The sequence below is a fragment of the Homo sapiens genome, chromosome 20 (assembly GCF_000001405.40).
Source record: "Homo sapiens chromosome 20, GRCh38.p14 Primary Assembly".
Lineage (NCBI taxonomy): Eukaryota > Metazoa > Chordata > Mammalia > Primates > Hominidae > Homo > Homo sapiens.
Window position 1 is genome coordinate 4,710,261 of NC_000020.11, and position 20,246 is coordinate 4,730,506.

The following is a 20,246-nucleotide window of genomic DNA, read 5'->3' on the forward strand; positions in this document are numbered from 1 at the left end:
TTGCCCAATTCCAAATGCTGAGCGTGCCCACCACCCTGCGTACCGCGGCTACCCACACATGCAATGTGTCCACTCAGGTTTCTTCATGGCCAAGGCTCACCTTCCTGAGGCCCCCAAGTCTAAGGTCAGGGGAAGCACCACAGAGAGGATCAGAGGATCTCAAAGGCCCAAGTCCTTCCAAATGGGTGACCACTAGCCCTGCCCACTGTCCAGACTCACAGACTGCAGAATCCAATGAGAAGCCTGTAATTTTGATTTTCTTCTTTTCCCTGAATGACTCTGAATCTCCTTTTACCCCAACCCCTGGAGGAGGCCTTTTCTCACCAGCCAATCTGAAAACCCCTTTCTCTACACCGCCTTTCAGTGGAGGAATGACAGGTGCTGGGGTTGCTATTTCTGCCACACAGATAGTAGGGCATTTATTGTGGACCAGACTTGTCCCAAAGGAGGGTTTCCAGTCTCCAATTGGGGTCATCCAAGCATGGCTGTTTCCTGAAGAAATAGCTCTGGACCTTTGATGAACAGAAAAAAGAATGAAGGAATGATTCCATGTGCAATCAAGCTCAGATTCCCCACATAAAGTCTGTCAAAGGCCATTCTTAGCTTGAGAATTTTAAGAGTAAGATTTTTCTCTGCCCCCCAAGGAAAAGGTCCATTGTGGTTCTGCTACACATTTGATTTCTTTTTTTTTTTTTTTTTTTTGAGGCTGGGTCTCACTCTGTCACTCCAGCCGGAGTGCAGTGGTTCGATCATAGCTCACTGCAGCCTTGACCTCTCTGGCTCAAGCGATCTTACCACATCAGCCTTCCTAGTAGCTGGGACCACAAGCATGTGTCTCCATGCCAGGCTATTTTTTAAAAATTTTTTGTAGAGATGGGGTCTCACCATGTTTCCCAGGTCTCGAACTCCTGGGCTCAAGTAGTTCTCCCACCTTGGCCTCCCAAAATGCTGGGATTACAGGTATAAGCCACCACACCCAGCCCACATTTGATTTTGACCAGCCACATTCGAGTTGCCACATTCCCCCAGGCTGCCAGGACATGGAGATGAATCCAACAAACAAACCAGGATGGGCTGTTTGGTTCTGTCCCACCAATTGTGGAAAATGCGAGCAAAAAAACCACCATCTTGCTCCTGACATAATCACCCCGAAGAGTAAGTAATTGGACAAAAAAAACATTGTTAAATTAGGCTTCTCCCAGTTCCCAAAAGTAAAACCACAATATAAAATGGCAGAGTATTTGTGTCCTCCAAGGTGAGGGGCAACCTTCATTATAAAACCACACCGACCAGACAATATTATTCAGTAATAAAAAGGTATAAAGGACCGTTACATGCTACAACATGGATGAACCCTGAAAACATTATGCTGAGTGAAAGAAACCAGTCACAAAAGACCACATAGGATGTGGTTTCATTTATGTAAAATGTCCAGAAAGGGCAAATCTGTAGAAGCAAACTGTGGATTAGTGGTTGCCGGGGGTTGGAGGGAGGTGGAGGATGGGAACTGCCTACTAGTGGGTACAGGGTTTCTGTCTGGTGTGATAAAATGTGCTGGAATTAAATGGTAGCAAATCAATGAATAACTTTCTGACTATTCCAAATATCCCTGAGTGTACACCTTGAAATGGCGAATCTCATGTTACGGGAATTACCCCAATGGTGCTATTTTTTTCAGTTTTATTTTTGTTTCTATTTGTTTATTTATTTATTTTGAGACAGAGTTTCACTCTGTTGCCCAGGCTGGAGTGCCGTGGCACGATCTCGGCTCACTGCAACCTCTGCCTCCCGGGTTCAAGCGATTCTCCTGTCTAAGCCTCCTGAGTAGTTGGGAGTACAGGCTTGTGCCACTACGCCCAGCTAATTTTTGTATTTTAGTAGAGACAGGGTTTCACCATGTTGGCCAGGCTGGTCTCAAACTCCTGATCTCTGGTGGTCCACCCGCCTCGGCCTCCCAAAGTGTTGGGATTACAGGTGTGAGCCTCTGCACCTGGCCGATGATGCTCTTTTTTTTTTTTAAAGCACAGAATTGCCTACCTAAGCACAGAGGTGATGAGAGGGTAGGGGGAGGTTTAGGTAGTTGATTAAGGTTTAATCTGTTGTAAGAACATTTCTGCCCACTTGTTTTTCTCACGAGTGTTCCAGAAAACAGTCTATAGAGAAGCACTAATAGCTTTAGGTCTAGCACATTTCTAGACACTTGGTCCTAAGCCTTTTCTGGTTACAAAATCAAAGGCTAAATCAATGAAAGCTGAAAAATGAAATACAACATTCTCGACCTTTAAGAAGGTAAGAAAAGTGAAAAGGAACACAGTAATGTTTAATTATGGAGCAGCTGAGTTTAAAACCTGCTTGCCCCTGCTGTGATATGTAATTTACAAGGCCTGCTGGTATCAAGAGCTGATGGGATTGTTACCAGGCGAATAGGCCCTTTGCCCATACGCGGCAGAAATGTGGTCCCCTTTATTCTACCTAAAGTACTAAAGTTTCCTCAAGAAAAACCTCTGGACCTTTGGTGAACTAATAAATGCTCAGGGTCTGGGAAGTGGCTTCATGCACCCGTTTTTGTGACAAGTTTAGTGACTGCCTTTTCTACTAGGTTATAAATTACTTCTCATATAGACTATTTCTTTTTTTTATTTTTTGTTATTTTACTTTAAGTTCTGGGATACATGTGCAGAATGTGCAGGTTTGTTACATAGGTATACATGCCCCATGGTGGTTTGCCGCACCCATCAACCCGTCATCTAGGTCTTAAGCCCCACATACCTTATGTATTTGTCCTAATGCTCTCCCTCCCCTTGCCTCCCACCCCCAAACAGGCCCCTGTGTGTGATGTTCCCCTCCCTGTGTCCGTGGGTTCTCATTGTTCAACTCCCACTTGTGAGTGAGAACATGCGGTGTTTGGTTTTCTGTTCCCGTGTTAGTTTGGTGAGGATGATGCCTTCCAGCTTCATTCGTGTCCCTGCAAAGGACATGATCTCATTCTTCATGGCTGCATAGTATTCCATGGTGTATATGTGCCACATTTTCTTTGTCCAGTCTACTTCTCATACAGACTATTTCTACGCCTTTCATTCACCTGGTGGAAACTCTATCCTTTTTCCTGAAGTTGGCATTTCTCCTGACATCTCAATCTGCCCAGTTGCTCCTTCTCTACCTCACAGGAAAGTTATGCTGATGAGTAAGGACACACCCTTCTCACACACTGAGCTGTTTTGGCAAGACTAGGTGGTGTGAATATCAGGCCTTGTGACGGGGCGGGGGACCTTGCTGGAGCCTCAGCTTCTTCACTGCCCACATTGCGTCTCTGTCTTACTCACTTGACCTGTTGGCTCTGTTCAGAGGTCTTGCTTGATCCTTTAAGACCCAGATGTCCCTTCTGAGTCATCGTGTGGCATTTGGCCTTGTCTTCCCCGGCCTGCATTTACACCCAATCCTCCTTCCCTGTGTGTCATCACACACCTGCGTAGCACTTGCAGTTGGAGTCGGGAGAGCAGAGAAGATGGAAGAGAGGCATTGGTTCATGTCCAGTTGGAAAATCAGTAATGTTTCCATGTGGCAGCTGAAGTGGAGGGGAGAGAACACTCAGTCAACCCTTCAAATCAAGGACCTCCATGGTGGAGGTGGGTGTGGTCTACAAAGAAGCATGCCCCTGTGCTGAAGGGATCACTCCCCTCCTGCCCCGCAGTAATTACCATTATCCAGGGATGGAAAGGAGAACGTGTGGTTGAGGAAATGTTAGCTCTTTTCCTCCTTTTCCTGGACCACAAAGCTAAGCTGGATAGAAAAGCTTGCAGGGCAGAAACAGTTGTAAAAGACATCCATGGGGACACCCTAGATGTCAGCTGTTCCCATTCTGTTCCTTCCTCCCCACCCCACTCTCTTTGGCAAGCCAGTCCTCCACTGGGGCACCTGTAATGAGTTACTCCCTGCTGCACGGCCTCACTTCTCTCCAAGAACTAGCCTCATCATTCGGACTCATCATGAATCCATACCTTAGAGCCTCTTGAGCCACCTCTAGGGTGCTTAACAATCCTCTGTTTATGTTGTTCCCTCCACCTAGAACATCTTTCCTGCTCCCTATCTCCAAGTGGCAAACTCTTAATGTATACATCAAGACCCAGCAGGGGCCAGGCATGGTGGCTCATGTCTGTAATCCCAGCACTTTGGGAGGCCGAGGCTGGTGGATCACCTGAGGTCAGGAGTTCGAGACCAGCCTGGCCAACATGGTGAAACCCTGTCTCTACTAAAAATAGAAAAATTAGCCAGGTGTGGTGGCACATGCCTGTAATCCCAGCTACTTGGGAGGTTGAGACAGGAGAATGGCTGGAACCAGGGAGACGGAGGTAGCAGTGAGCCAAGATCGTGCCACTGCACTCCAGCCTAGGCGACAGAGAGAGATTCCATCTCAAAAAAAAAAGAAAAAAAGACCCAACTGAAATCTGAAATGTCAGTCTGATGAAGCCTATGAATCCTGCTCAGTATAATGTTTTAAATGCATAAAATAAGATACATGGGTTATAAAATAAACTGATTAAACTAAAATATAGTTATCAAAATATGTTAATACTCATTAAACTTAAATATCTAAAAACTCACTGAATAAGATCTAGTGGTGAGCCTAATAACAAACATAATTTAACAGTGATATGTGTAAAGGACATTTTGAGATTTGTTACACCTGGAATTAGGTTGACCAACTTGTCCTGGCTTGTACCATACTTTCCCAGTTTAGCACTGAAAATCCTGTGTCCTGGAAATTCCCTCTGTCCCTGGCAAACTGGCACTTGAGAACCCTGTGTCCTGGAGAACCCCTCAGTCCCTGGCGAACTGGGGCAGTTGGTCACCCTACCTGTAATGTGGCATGAAAGCATCTGTGATTGTTAGTGGTGTTATAATCACAGGTACAGCTAATGCTACTGTGAGTTGCTACCTGCATTCTTCATGGAGGAAAAGCTCTATTTCAGGTAGAGGTGAGTGAAAATAAAGATGTGTTGGTTTTTCCCATCCAAGTTCATGTATTTTCCAATTTCTCTCCGTGGACAGCCCCCTTCCAGTTAAGAACCCCTGCAATTGGTAGGACAGAGTTAGGTCTACTCTCCCCTAATATTCATACTTTGTTCTTAGCTCTACAATAATTTACCAAACGCTGTAATTGTTTGTTTAAACAACACAACAAAAATTCTCCATTAAGCACCTTTCTTACAGGGTTGTGGGAGAATTAAAAGAAATGTATACAGGAGAGCTGGCATGAAGCAGGTCATTGTGATACAACCAGAGCCCTCTTGCATGGTTGAATCTAAATTGGTTGAAAAATTTTGGAAAACTGGCAGGTTCTACTAAAGCTGAACATGCCCCTATCCTATCACCCAGCATTTTGACTACTGAGTATTTCCCCAACAAAAATGAGAGCTTATAGTCATCAAGAGACATGCCTAAGAATTTTCCTAGCAACTGTATTCCAATAGCCCCAAACAAAGGATAACCCCAGTGTCCATGAGAGAAGAACAGATCAAGAAGTTGTGATCTATTTAAACAACCATATACCATACAGGAATGAGAATTCACAAATAATATCTCAGCCAGGTTTGGTGGCACACACTTGTAATCTAGCACTTTGGGAGGCTGAGGCTGGAGGATCCCTTGAGGCTAGAAGTTCAAGACTAGCCTAGGCAGCATGACAAGATCTCGCTTCTACCAAATGAAAAAAAAATTAGCCACCATGGTGGTGTGTGCCTGTAGTCATAGCTATTTGGGAGGCCGAGGCAGGAGGATCACTTGAGCCCAGGAATTTGAGGCTGCAGTGAGCCATGATGGCACCACTGCACTCCAGTCTGGGTAAGAGAACGAGACCCTGTCTCTAAAAATTAAAAAGCAATTTAAAAAACAATAATAACATATCTAGGGAACAATATTAATAAATCTCACAAGCATAATTTTGAACAAAATTACAGTTACAAAACAATGCATATTGCATGATTCCATTTGTATAAAAGAAGGGTGAAACACCAGCCTGGAAGCTAGAAGTCAAGGTAGTGGTTACTGCTGAAGGGGGTGGGAATATTCTGCTGGTTACCTAAGGGTATTGAGTTCGTGAAATCTACTGAATGGTGTACTTATGGCACGTGCATTTTTCTATATTATGTTATACTTCAACAAAAGCATTCAATATGTTGGGTCCTCATTCCCACCTCTTGCCAGATCCCACCTGCAGCCACCACCACCAAGAAGTGACCTCTCCCTGCATTTTCCACTTGGGTTGGCTCTGCGACTTGGCAAAGACTTTTCCCTGCTGAATCCATCCCTCTCTCCACAGTGCTTTGAACTTCCTCCTGGACAAGGGCAACCACAGCCTCTGGCACTAACCTCTTAAGTTGCCTTCACAACCATCAATGCTTCATTAGTATTTCTGGCAGGCTGGTAATTAACATGTTAGCACATACCTGTGTATTCAAAGCAGCTTTTGGGCCCGAGCTTACTATCCTTTACACTATTTCAGGGAAGGATTTGTATTGAATTCTGTGGTTTCAACTGTGCCAAGCAGCAATTGATAATCTTTCATCCGCAGCAGCTGTAACAATGATGGGAGCAGCAGGCATGATACCCCTGCACAGATGAGAAAACTCATCCTCAGTGTGAACTTATGTCACCCCAAAGATGCCCAGCAAATATACCATTTATTGTCTGAGGTGGAAATCACCCTCCATGAGAGAGAAGGCCAAAGCTCCCCTGTAATCGATGATGACTAAGCCCTGCAAAGCCGAGAATGGCAGGCTGGGGATTAGAACTCATGTCTTTGGCTCATGTCCACTCTCTGTGCAGCGCCCTGCCCTCACCCCCCTCCCCCGAGAACGAACACCACCCCTGGGCAACCCAGGTGTCCCCACTCTGACACAGTAAAAGCTGGACCGTCATCTGGTCCAGGTAGCCTCGTCCTGGGGGAGGCCTTTCTCCATTTGGACATTTTCCTGTGTATTTAGGGAGAGTGACAAACTGCAGACCAACTTATCAGGTTAATTATGCTTTTAAAAACATCGCAGACGAGGAGCAAAGTGATGGGGAGGCTAAATGAGGAACTCGGTGGTGGCTGAGTCTGGCATTCTTTGCCCTTCTTTGGGTCTGCAGGTGGGAGTTTCTGCCCTTTCCTGGGCCTCTCCTTTCTGGACAACCCGAGAGACAGATCACCTTAAAACACAGCCTTCATCCTGTACCTGCCCTAAGCCTTCAGTGGCTCCCCATCTTCTACCTTCTCACCTACAAACATCCTGTCCCACATACACTGGGTGATTCCCGCACGAGAGGAAGAACTGCTTCAGTGGTCCCGGCTGAGCCAGAAGGACCACTGCTCTTCCTCATCTCCCACCCTTCCTCACCTCCCTCCCATCCTCCCCATACTCCACCCCAATCCCTGCCCTGAGTCAATTGCTCACAGCCAAGTTCCAAACACTAACTGCACTCTGACCGGGAAGGGCAGAGAACTGCAGGGGAAATGATCCATGGATTAGCACAGCATTTGCTTCTCCAAGCTGTGGCCACCCTCTGGGCTCATTTTCTGCTTCTAAACAACTCTATACCACAGAATCTCAACTACCACCATGACGGGTCTTCAACATGCTGCCCTTGATTTAAAAGACAACCGCAACAACTGTAAAACTGTCTCCCTTATCCCTGTAAAATTTGCTCTTGCTGCTTTTGTGTATTCCAACCAACTGCGATGTGGACCGTCACCGATCAACAAGGGATAAAGGGAATCTAGATGCATCTAGATTCCAGGCACTGTGCTAGGTGCCAGGCAAACACATGTGAATGAAACACAGTCCTTCAACTTCTATGAGCTCAGCAGAATGTGTGAATGGGAGGCTCCGGTGACTACAGTAATAGGCTCTGTGCCAAGTGGCAAAGGAACCACATGGAGACTCGCGGCTGGGTTTGGGAGCAGAAGAGTGGGCAAACCGTAAAGGAGGGTGAATTTAAGATTTTAAAAAAGCCATAGTCCAAATTCTAAAATAGTAAAAGCTGAAAAATAGGCATATTCTATGACCCAGCAAATCTACTCCTGAGTATATATTCAACAGAAATATGGGCACCAAGAAGAACATGCAGGAATATTCATGACAACACTATTCATAAGATCCCAAATGAGAAACCGCCCAAATGTCCATCAACAGGGAAATGGATAAGTAGGTTGTGGAATATTCTTACAATGGAATGAATGATCTATAACTACACACAATGTGGGTGAACCTCAAATACGTAATTCGAGCAAAACACAGACACAGAAGATTATATTCTATATAATTCTATGTATATGAAATACAAAACCAGGCAAAACTAATCTATGGCATGGGACTCAGAAAAGTGGTCAGCATAGGGGAGGGAATTGTGGCGTGAAGAGGCCATGAGGAGCTTGGAGTGTGCTGTCATGCTCAGTTTCCTAATCTAGGTGCAGGTTACAATGGTGTATTTGGTTTGTAAAAATACATAATGCTGGGCCGGGTGTGGTGGCTCATGCCTGTAATCCCAGCACTTTGGGAGGCCGAGGCGGGTGGATCACGAGATCAGGAGATCCAGACCATCCTGGCTAACACGGTGAAACCCCATCTCTACTAAAAATACAAAAAATTGGCCGAGTGTGGTAGCCCATGCCTGTGGTCTCAGCTACTCGGGAGGCTGAGGCAGGAGAATCGCTTGAACCTGGAAGCCGGGGGTTGCAGTGAGCCGAGATGGCGCCACCGCACTCCAGCCTGGGTGACAGAGTGAGACTCCATCTAAAAAAAAAAAAAAACCATAATGCTGGACATTGCAAATATGTGCACCTTTGTGTGGATCTCAGACTTGAATAAAAAGAAAAAATTAAGTATGTCTATTGTCTTAGTCCATTCAGGTTGCTATAATAAAATATCATAAACTGGGTGGCTTATAAACACCACACATTTATTTCTCACTGTTCTGGAGGCTGGCAAGTCCAAGATCAAGGTGCCAGCAGATTGGGTGTCTGGTGAGAACCCACTTTGTGGTTCATAGATGGCCATCTTTCACTGTGTGCCCACATGGCAGAAGGGACAAGGGAGTACTCTCAGGCCTCTATTATAAGGGCACTAATCCCAATCATAAGGGCTTCACCCATATGACCTAATCACCTCCCAAAGATCCACCTCCATTACCATTACCTCGGGGGTGAGAATTTCAACATATGAGTTGTTGAGGGACACAAGCATTCAGACTGTAACAGCTGTTTAGGTAGCTACACAGCTAAATAAGTATTATTTTCCAAATCACATTTCAGCGATTTCTCTACCATTAGGCCATGGGCCAGCAATGGAACCTGGCTTATCCTTCTTGTGTTCTTCTTTTCCTGGCACAAATATGGTTGGTAATCTTGCCAAACAGTAATCTCCCTGGTATAGTTAATTTGGCCTGCTAGGTTATATCCAAACGATCACTGTATTCACCTATAAATGCTCTCAAACTGGTCCAAGGTCTAATCAAAGCTGGAAATTGATCAAATAATGACCCATTCATGCATTCTAGAATTCAGCCATTCCCTGTTGCGTTTTTAGAAACTGGCATAATTTTCTATTATTTACGCGATCTAGAGAACTATGTCATAGACCCCTGCATCATAGAACACCCAGATCTGTGGTCTCCATCTCATTCTTCCTGCTTTCTCAAAGATGATCTACACACAGTTCTATTTCCCAGACTATATAATATAATCCACTTTATGTAACATAGTGTAATTCACTTGGCCCTGGTCTCTCAGTTCTTTTGAAGAAATGAATGTTCTCACACTAATTCCTTGGTCTGTTTGTCGATCTTTACAGGCAGGGAGGGAGGATGCGAGGCAGCATTGGGTCGGCTCCACATTCTCCACATCTGCTTATTGTTTTCTTGCCTTGTTTGCAGCTTCCAGAGCTCCTCCCTGCTTCTGTAGCAATTTCAGTCTTCCCCATTCCTCTGTGCCTTTGTAAACAGCCTTTTGTTCACTAACAAGAGGAATCTGCTGCCACGTCAGCTCTAAACCAACCTCCCACCATTCTCTGGGTAAAGTCCTGCTTAGAAAGGGAATAGGAAGAAGAGGGGTGGAGGGGGTTGGAGATGATTGTGTCTAGTGGGAACAGGCAGGGGGATAGTGCACAGAGTTCACAATGGGACAACGAGCCTGCCGAGGCTGCACTGCCGGCCTGGCTGGGTGACCTTGAGCCTATCTGGGCCTGTGAGCTCACCATGCAAAGGAGCTGGACCACAGAATTCTGAGTCCTTTCTAGCTCTAAACACTGTGGCCCTAAGTATCTATATGTGAAACAAAATTGTCCTGACATTTGTCTCTGGGTACTGAACTATTAGGAGATTTTGATTTTTTCATCTCCATTTTGCAAACAGTCTGTACTAAGATTACACTACTGTGTTTCTGTTTTGTGTGTATTCAGAAGCACAAAAAGTCTGTGGTTCTAGAAAGGAAATAGAAAAGTTCTTAAAAAAAAAAAAGTGGGGAAGTGAAACAAATGTTAAAGTCAGAGGAGAAAGAAAGGCCCAACCGGAGGCCCCAAATCCACCCAGAGCCCAGAAGCCCGGGTTTCCCACCGACCGGCTGCGGTCTTTGTCAGCTCTCTGGCGCTATCTGCTGTCCTTCTCGATAACAACCGTTTAATTTGGTTTGCAAAATTGCTCTGACGCAAATCCACCGTGAACACTGACGGGGTCACATTCAGCATAAAAATCGCATTCTGTTTACAGGAAAATCTGGCCCCATACTTGCTCCCATATTCACTTTTGACTTTGCCTTGCAGTACTAACTGTAACAGGGACACCTGAGCAAGTCCCTTCTGTATAAGGCCCAAAATGGTCACCCAATACCAATGAGTCTCTTGCTTTGGAAAGCCCAGGAATGCACCTCCAGCCCCTTCTGCGCAGCGCTCGGACACCATGTAGAGGAGAAGGCACTCTGCAGAACTCGCCCTCAGCCCGCACCACCTGTCCAGGGGACTGGCTGCGTGTCAATGTGTCTCTGCTCCCGGGGTTCCCGCAGATCTTTAACTTATTGGCCTTTGGGCTAATTCAGTCCTTCAAGCATTCCTCGCCCAACATGCCAGGAAGTCTTCTCACGTGTCTTCCACCCCATACCTACCAGTTCTGTTTTCCCACTACCCGATGAAAGTGTAACCGCCCCCCGGCGCCCCCCCCCCCCACCACCACACACACACCCTGTTGGTCCCATCCTCAGGGCGTGGTGGTCCAGGTGAACGCTTGCCCTCTTTTTGAGCTGAACCTCCCCACAGAGGCTGTCAGCAAAGACTGCTTTGCTGTCCAAGGCCGGCCTTTAGGTACAGGACACTATGCATGTCCAGCGAGGCTTGTTGAAGCCACATCTGTCATAGATATTGATGGGAAAAGCATTTTCCTTCTAACACATCTCATTCCAATTCTAAAAGGCACCTCTGAAGCCTTGCTGAACTTCATCAAGATTTTCACGTGGTTTCCTTAGTAAAGTGTGATGAGAAGGTCCATCCTTCTCAGGATGAAGGAGTGGTCCAGGAAGCCCTGATTGGTCTGCCGGGGAGGGAAGGGCTGCCTTATTTGGAGACCTGCAGGAATGCCACCTCCCCCGGCAGCTCCTATATAGCTGGGCGGACCTGGCTGCCAAGAGGGTGTGCTGGGGGACTGTGCAGCTCGAGGCTCCAGAGGCACACTCCAGAGAGAGCCAAGGTACGTGGGGGGCCACTTCTGTGGTCAGGACTGCTGGTTTCTTATCAAGGCTCGATCCCAGATTGAAAATCATGCAATGATTTCTTTACTCCCACACCTGGGGATGGGTCCCAAGTTCAGGGTAGACTTGCGAGGATACCCAGTCATCACTGGGCTTGCCTTTCTCTAAGTTGGTGCTATAATAAAATGCTACTTTAGGGTTTGTGGGTTGGGATTTTGTTTTGCCTTTAAGCTTCTGCCTATGAAAACTAATCTCTTTCTCAAGAATGCTGTGCTTTTATTTTTTTTATTTGACTCACCTGAAATGATCTATTATGCCATTAATCTTATTTAAGATTTCTCCTTAAAAAAGGAATGATGTGGAGTATGGCCCTATTTAGGAGACTAATGAATATTTGCTTCATGCTTGGATCTCTTTGGAGAAAGTCAGTCTGAGTTCACTGTGCTCAGGAGGCAGAGAGAGTGGGGTGAGGGGGTCCAGATGCTCATAGCCACCCTGGGACAAAGACGAGGCGATGTCTACAAGCAAGGAAAGGTCAGTGAGGCCTCTTTGCAGGCTTCTAGAGATGACTGGATGTGCTTCTAGAGATCACTTCAGCTGTGTTTTGCCTTTTTTTTTTAATATAAGGAGCAATGTGGCATCAGAGTTGAACATTTTATCAGAGGAACATTAGCCACTTTTAGGGAAGCTGCAGCAGGGTGGTGGAGGGTGTGTGAGGGGCGAAACAAGCTCCCTGTCAGCCTCCTCCAGCTCTGGGGCCCCATGGCCTCACAGTAAGTCTTTGCCTAGGAGACAGCTTAGGCAAGCTCCGGTATGGGAACTCCTTCCATTTCCCTAATCCACACAGGCAAAGACCCAGGTGCTAGAATGCCCTGACAGTCGGCCTTGGGAAGTGGATTTCCTTGATGGCTATTGTAGATTCAGGAGCCGAATGTGACAGGCAACCTTAAGGTGTGGGGTGAGGGGCTTTTCCATGACATCAGTGGCAGCCCTTCGGATGTCCCAGGGCCACCTTGACCCGGGACCCTCCTGGTGTTCCCCCAGGCCCTCCTGTCTTCCCTTTCATCTCGTTTTCTCCGAAATTCCTCAAGGGCCCTGCCCTTTGCCCTTTGCCCAGCTCAGGGGGCATCATACCCAGTGAGTGAAAAGCACAGTGTGTGAGCACTGTCTTCTCCTGAAACCCAGATGGGCAGTGGGGCATGGCTAGTGGACACATGCAGTGCAGCATTAGACAGAGCCCAGTGCAGGTCTGCCACCTCCCCGCTGTGCAGCCTTGGGCAAATTACTTAACTTCTCTGAATCCCAGGACAACATTTATAACATGGGGATAATAATGTACCTACTCTATGTGAGAATTAAGTTAGGCAATGTCAGAGAAGAGCTTAACACGGTGGCAGGCATGAAGAAAGTATGCAATAAAAAGCCAGTAGGATAAGCAGATGGTCACACTGTCCCCCAGGGGTGAGATTGGAAAGGATGCCTGGAGCACACTTGACCCCTGGACATAGGGGAGGCAGGGGTCCCTTTGCTACGTTTCCATCTTTCCCTTCCTTCCTCCTCCTCTCTCTCTCATTACTGCAAAGCCCTTTAGGATCAGCAGCCAGTGAATTCCTCAGAATGGATGGCAGAATGCCCCCAAGACAGTGCCAGCTCAGAGCAATAAAGAACAAAGAGGGGAGATTGAAAGTACAATCTAAAGTCGGCACAGTGGCTCGTGCCTGTAATCTCAGCACTTTGGGAGGCTGAGGTGGGAGGATCACTTGAGCCTGGGCAACATAGTGAGACCCCGTTTCTACAACATGTATTTAAAAATTAGCTGGGTGTGGTAGTGTGTGCCTGTAGTCCCAGCTACTCCGGAGGCTGAGGCAAGAGGATTGCTTGAGCCCAGGAGTTCAGGGCTGCAATGAGCTATGATCATGCCACTGCACTCCAGCCTGGGCAACAGAGTGAGATCCTGTCTCTAAAATATGTGTGTGTGTGTGTGTGTGTGTGTGTGTGTGTGTGTATGTGTGTGTGTCTGTACATATACGTATATATATATGTGTGTATATATACATATATGTGTGTATATATGTATATATGTGTGTGTATATACGTGTATATATACATATATATGTGTATATATATACGTGTATACACACACACACACACACACACATATAGTCCATGCCCACCAGCATTTGATTCCAACTCTTCTATTGTATTTTCCTCCCAGGGATTTCTTGATTTGAAAGACTTGGGAGTATCAAAGAAAACCTACATGTATTAAGTCACCACTCCTTTATTTTCCCATGCGTATTCAAAGCCACTATAATTGCCCTTTGCCATTCTTACCTGTCTCGGAAACCGGGACCAGAGCCCTGAGTGAATGTAATCCTAGCAATAGCAAAGGAGCTCGGTGTTTGAGTTAACCCTGCACAACCCAAACATGGGGAAACAATTATGCTTTTGAGACCACATAAATAGCACAAGGATGCGATTCCTTCCTTAAAATCTCCTGCACTTGGGAGGGGGCAGGGGAGCCCAGGCAGGCCTGGTGGGGAGCTGACCCACCGCCGTTTCTCTGGCAGGTTCTGACGCGATGAGGAAGCACCTGAGCTGGTGGTGGCTGGCCACTGTCTGCATGCTGCTCTTCAGCCACCTCTCTGCGGTCCAGACGAGGGGCATCAAGCACAGAATCAAGTGGAACCGGAAGGCCCTGCCCAGCACTGCCCAGATCACTGAGGCCCAGGTGGCTGAGAACCGCCCGGGAGCCTTCATCAAGCAAGGCCGCAAGCTCGACATTGACTTCGGAGCCGAGGGCAACAGGTACTACGAGGCCAACTACTGGCAGTTCCCCGATGGCATCCACTACAACGGCTGCTCTGAGGCTAATGTGACCAAGGAGGCATTTGTCACCGGCTGCATCAATGCCACCCAGGCGGCGAACCAGGGGGAGTTCCAGAAGCCAGACAACAAGCTCCACCAGCAGGTGCTCTGGCGGCTGGTCCAGGAGCTCTGCTCCCTCAAGCATTGCGAGTTTTGGTTGGAGAGGGGCGCAGGACTTCGGGTCACCATGCACCAGCCAGTGCTCCTCTGCCTTCTGGCTTTGATCTGGCTCACGGTGAAATAAGCTTGCCAGGAGGCTGGCAGTACAGAGTGCAGCAGCGAGCAAATCCTGGCAAGTGACCCAGCTCTTCTCCCCCAAACCCACGCGTGTTCTGAAGGTGCCCAGGAGCGGCGATGCACTCGCACTGCAAATGCCGCTCTCACGTATGCGCCCTGGTATGTGCCTGCGTTCTGATAGATGGGGGACTGTGGCTTCTCCGTCACTCCATTCTCAGCCCCTAGCAGAGCGTCTGGCACACTAGATTAGTAGTAAATGCTTGATGAGAAGAACACATCAGGCACTGCGCCACCTGCTTCACAGTACTTCCCAACAACTCTTAGAGGTAGGTGTATTCCCGTTTTACAGATAAGGAAACTGAGGCCCAGAGAGCTGAAGTACTGCACCCAGCATCACCAGCTAGAAAGTGGCAGAGCCAGGATTCAACCCTGGCTTGTCTAACCCCAGGTTTTCTGCTCTGTCCAATTCCAGAGCTGTCTGGTGATCACTTTATGTCTCACAGGGACCCACATCCAAACATGTATCTCTAATGAAATTGTGAAAGCTCCATGTTTAGAAATAAATGAAAACACCTGAGCTGGTGGCTGTGTACTTTGACTGGTACATGGAGGCTATTTTAATCCTTCTAACTAAACTAAAATAGATTAAAGGAATTAAACTAAAATACAAGTAAAGCTAGACAAAGGCCCAGAAATCATACTGTAAGGAAATGTTATTGGAAGCTGATTCCCAGAGCAGACCACATATACAGCAGGATGTGCCTGTGGCATGAAGATTTTCTTTCTCTTTTTTTTTTTTTTTTAGATGGAGTTTTACTCTTGTTGCCCAGGCTGGAGTGCAACGGCATGATTTTGGCTCACTGCAGCCTCTGCCTCCCAGGCTCAAGCACTTTTCCTGTCTCAGCCTTCCGAGTAGCTGGGATTACAGGTGTGTGCCATCATGCCTGACTAATTTTGTATTTTTAGTAGAGACAGGGTTTCACCATGTTGGCCAGGCTGGTCTTGAACTCCTGACCTCAGGTGATCCACCCACCTGGGCCTCCCATAGTGCTGGGATTCAATTTTTTTTTTTTTTTTTTCAAAAGAAGGGTAAGTGCTTGCTGTTCCCATCCCTGAAACATTGCATGTATTTAAGAAAAACAAAATGTTAGTGGCATATTTGCTTCTAATGTTCCCCTAACCCTACATGCATGTTTTATGTGCACTCATATGAGTATCTTTAAATATAATCCCTTTACATCTGTGTTCTATGCAAAGTCTCTCATTTCTTTCAAGACAGCCTAATGAAGGCCATCATCTCTGTAAACCACTTGTCACTACAAAAATACAATTACTCACCAAAAAGCTTTAAAAAATAAAGCTGTGTCTTTAGGGAGACCCAATAAAGAATGCAATCCATGCCATAAGCAGGAGTTGATACACCACCTTATTAGCTAAAAATATATATAACACAATATGAGTAATGTTTAAGATCTGTTTTAAATTTAAAACAATGAATTGAATGCTCTAAGAGGCTCCTACAGGCGCTCCAGGCCACTCTCAGAGACTCCCAGGAGTTGTTGAACTATATTTGGAGAAAACAGCCACTGAATATTATCATTTCTCCTTTAAAGAGAGTTTGTAAGGGGGGAACATGCATTTTATCAGACAATTTATCCAAAGCATTGCAGAACATGAGTGCTGATGAGGGCACCTCTTGTGCTGAGTCCCCTCAGCTATCAGTGTTCTTCTCAAGGACACATTTGGAAGGTTTTAACATTGAAAGTGAGCGGAGGACTTGGGGGCAGAGCAGCACAAAGAAACAGCCTTACACTGGGCACATGGAGGAGACGTCCACCCTGCAGCCAGGACTGGGGTTCACGTCACTGCCAGAGCTACACTCGCCTTCTGCTTCCACGGTCCTGTTAATTCTAGATCAGAGAGCAAGAAAAAAGTACAGAACATATCCTCTACGGTTATTTCCTGCTTTCTAATTAAAAAAATAATAACCATGGCAAGAGAGAAAGAAAGAGAAAGTACTCAGAGGCTGACACTGACATTTCACTTCCTCGCTCTCCTAAGTTTAATTACAACAGCACGTGCAGCCACGTCAGCCAAATGACTTCATTTCTGATGTGAAAACGCTTAGGCCATGATGTCGTTCATTTTCTGTAATTGCTGCCTTTTCTCATTCTGTTAATAGTCCCGGCAACCAGATTTCAGTGGGGCATGACGTGAATGTGTATATGGTGATTCAAATGCAAAATTTGTTTATGGGGCTTTTAATCGAACGCGTGTGTGCCTGAACATTCTTGCTCAAGTTGATGAATCATGGGGTGGAATAAAGGCTGAGTTTAGTTTTTCACTTTAGCAAAGGGGCAATGGGGTGCCTACTATGTGCGAGACATTGGGAGGGGCTTCTGAATTATTCTGGATATCGTCATTTTGCAGTGTGCATAATTTTGCCAACCGTTGCTTTCGTAGCCCCTGCTAAGTGTTGACTTTTTAAAATATAAGTTTATTGTAAAAGTGACATGAAAATTACAACAGATATTCCAGACCAAAATAATACAACAATCCCAGCATCTGATTGAGTCAGTGTTTGCTGTTTCCCCTGCACTTTCCTAGTTCTTAAGCATTTGCGTATGTAAACATTCATATTTGCAATAAAAAAGTGAGCTTTTATATTCTAAATTTTTACTTAACTTAATTCAATGCTTTCTACTCATTTTTCTATACTTTTTTTTTTGAGGCAGAGTCTCATTCTGTTGCCCAGGCTGGAGTGCAGTGGCGTGATCTTGGCTCACTACAACCTCCACCTTCCAGGCTTAAGCGATTCTCATGCCTCATCCTCCCAAGTAGGTGGGATTACAGGTGCCCACCACCAAGCCCTGCAAATTTTTTTGTATTTTTAGTAGAGACAGTGTTTTGCCATGTTGGCCAGGCTGGTCTCGAACTCCTGACATCAGGTGATCCACCTGCCTCGGCCTCCCAAAGTGCTGGGATTACAGGTGTGAGCCACCACGCCCTGCCTACTCTTTGTTTTCTTTCCTCCCCACCCATTTTCCCCCGTCCTGTCCCCTCCTTCCAGCCTGAGATGTAGGCTCCACCTTAACTGTGCTCAGATACACAAGTGAGGGCTTTTTAACTTGATTATGCCTTTTAAAAATACTATGTATGTAAAATATTTATTCATCTGCAATTTGGCTTCCCTAACTTAACATTGCATCATGAAACTCTTTGGAACAACAGCTATCTAGATAGCTGACTCATTCTTTTGGATTGCTACGTAATCTCACTTAATACAGATGTATCATGATTGATTGAATCATTGCCTTGTTGATGGGCCTTCAGATTATTTCCAGTTTTTTGCCACTGCAAACAATAAACATCCTTGTACATACTACATTGCAGTCTGGTACTTCTGTTTCTGTGGAATAGATTCACACGTGCAAAATTTCTGGAACAAAGCCTGTGTGTAATTTAAATTTTACCAGCCATGACCGGGCTATGCTCGCACATAGCTGGAGCAAATCCTATTCCCACCAGCTGTTTACGGCATTAATTTGGAAGAGTTTCTGTCATTTAACTATGAGAAGCCACCTTTTCTACAAATGTTGCCTACACATCTTCTCTCTTTTGCAAACGGCACACCTAAAGCTCTCTAAAACTTTCGGCCATGAGGACCATTTGAAAATCCTCCTAAAACTGTTAGCAATTCTCATTCTAAACCTGGTCCTTGGCCCAAAACATCTGCATGAGAAGCCTGGAAAACAGGCAGTGAGTGTGTAGGCTTCCAACTCAGAGGGTGGTGTGTCTGCACAGCTCCACACACCCCAGCAACTGGGAAGGCTTGAGGTGAGGTTATGCCCTGGCCTTTTTACTGACTTTTACTAAAATTACACATGCAAGTATTTGCATTCCAGCCAGAATACCCTCTAGATCCAAAAGCTCAAAAGGAGCAGAGAATTGAGAACACTATTAAAGTAGCCCATGCTGTTCCTCCCCTCCAGGCTCTGGCAGACAACCAGCATTTCCCTGGTGCCCCTCACACCCTACCTTGCTTAGGATATGCCTGACAATGTCTAGAAACTTCACCCTCTGGTCCTAATAGGGTGTCCCAGGCAGTGACCTTAAGTTTGTCTTGAGCCGCCCACACGCTCTACCTCAAGTTTTCTGACAACAAGTGACTGGATTGGGGTGGTGGCTGATTGGGTCAAGGACCCCAGGCCCTACATCGTACCTATGGTGTGGTCACATCTTTTTCCTGCACCCAAGACTTTTTTGTCATGGCTGTAGATGGATGGACACGTGCACCCTAAGCTGTCTCTGTGTTGCTGCATGACACATCCTGAGTCTACCAGAGTCTCTACTGAAATGTGACAGCAGGGCCCATGTGCCTTCATGTAACCAGCACTGTCACAGACCACACCTGCCAGGCGAGTGATCAAGACTTACACAGACATGGCATCATGACCAGTTTCAGTTTTTCTGGCTCAGACACCACTCTGTTGAGGAACAGACTTCTTGGTGAGCCTGGCTCAGGCCAGAGGCTAAGAGTTTGCTGTCTCCCCAGAGGCCACGAGTCAGAGAAGAGCGAGGGCTTCCTCTTCCCTTATCCTCAGTGCTGGCAGAAGACCCCATTTCAGTGGGCACCCAGCTTCCCCAGTGGAAGAAAAAGGAGCCCAACCCTCATGCCTCTGGGAATGCATCCCTACAAAATGGGAATAACTCAGATATTCCCTGCAAAATGAGACTAAAATACTATGACTTTGAGAAATCTCAAAGCACATTCCAGATCATCCAAAGACTGCCCCGGAAAAACAGACTCAGCTTTGGCAAATGGGAGCCTTCCCCTGGGCCCGTGGCTTTAGGGAGCCTCACTTTGGAGCAGGAGCATGCACGGGGAAGCGACCGAGATTCCACCCCCAGAGCACTAAAGCCCCGAGGCCTCCCTCCCACAGTGAGCCCCAGACCCCAAACAGAGGGTGGAGAATGTGCTCCTCTGGCATTGGATGAGAGGCCTTAGACTGAAATGAGCCCCATGCACTGACCATGCCCCTTCTAAAGGGATCTTCCTGGTCAGCACAAAGCTGACCCCCCAAAAGAGCTCATCCTCCAATACTCAAGTGTCATCCCTGTTCCCTGGACTGAACTGTAATGGGCACACAAATTCCCTGGAATCTTGGTGAAATGTACCTTCTGCTTCAGCAGGTTTGGGGTGGACCAGATTGTACGTTCCTTTTCTTTTCTTTTTTCTTTTTTTTTTTTTTTGAGTCAGAGTTTCAGTCTTGTTGCCCAGGCTGGAGTGCAATGGTGTCATCTCGGCTCACCACAACCTCTGCCTCCCAGATTCAAGCGATTCTACTGCCCCAGCCTCCTGAGTAGCTGGGATTATAGGCATGCACCACCACGCCAGGCTAATTTTGTATTTTTAGTAGAGACAGGGGTC

General features: G+C 46.5%; 1 protein-coding gene across 1 annotated transcript, besides 4 other annotated features; it reads left to right on the forward strand.

Moving 5' to 3' along the window:
- Positions 2,663-3,862: an enhancer, noted in NCBI's record as "CDK7 strongly-dependent group 2 enhancer chr20:4693569-4694768 (GRCh37/hg19 assembly coordinates)". NCBI's record gives its function as "activates an origin of replication core promoter dependent on BRD2, BRD4, P300/CBP, MED14 and CDK7 cofactors, with strong dependence on CDK7, by STARR-seq in HCT116 cells {active_cell/tissue: HCT116}" and the evidence as "EXISTENCE:reporter gene assay evidence [ECO:0000049][PMID:35650434]".
- Positions 10,352-10,571: an enhancer, noted in NCBI's record as "active region_17494". NCBI's record gives its function as "activates an Ori minimal core promoter by ATAC-STARR-seq in GM12878 lymphoblastoid cells {active_cell/tissue: GM12878}" and the evidence as "EXISTENCE:reporter gene assay evidence [ECO:0000049][PMID:35858748]".
- On the forward strand, positions 11,649-18,200 carry PRND (prion like protein doppel). The gene is made up of 2 exons (NM_012409.4): positions 11,649-11,709; positions 14,281-18,200. The coding sequence occupies exon 2, from the start codon at positions 14,292-14,294 to the stop codon at positions 14,820-14,822; it is 531 nt and encodes a 176-aa protein (NP_036541.2). The 5' UTR covers positions 11,649-11,709; positions 14,281-14,291; the 3' UTR covers positions 14,823-18,200.
- Positions 16,793-16,882: an enhancer, noted in NCBI's record as "active region_17495". NCBI's record gives its function as "activates an Ori minimal core promoter by ATAC-STARR-seq in GM12878 lymphoblastoid cells {active_cell/tissue: GM12878}" and the evidence as "EXISTENCE:reporter gene assay evidence [ECO:0000049][PMID:35858748]".
- Positions 19,247-19,356: an enhancer, noted in NCBI's record as "active region_17496". NCBI's record gives its function as "activates an Ori minimal core promoter by ATAC-STARR-seq in GM12878 lymphoblastoid cells {active_cell/tissue: GM12878}" and the evidence as "EXISTENCE:reporter gene assay evidence [ECO:0000049][PMID:35858748]".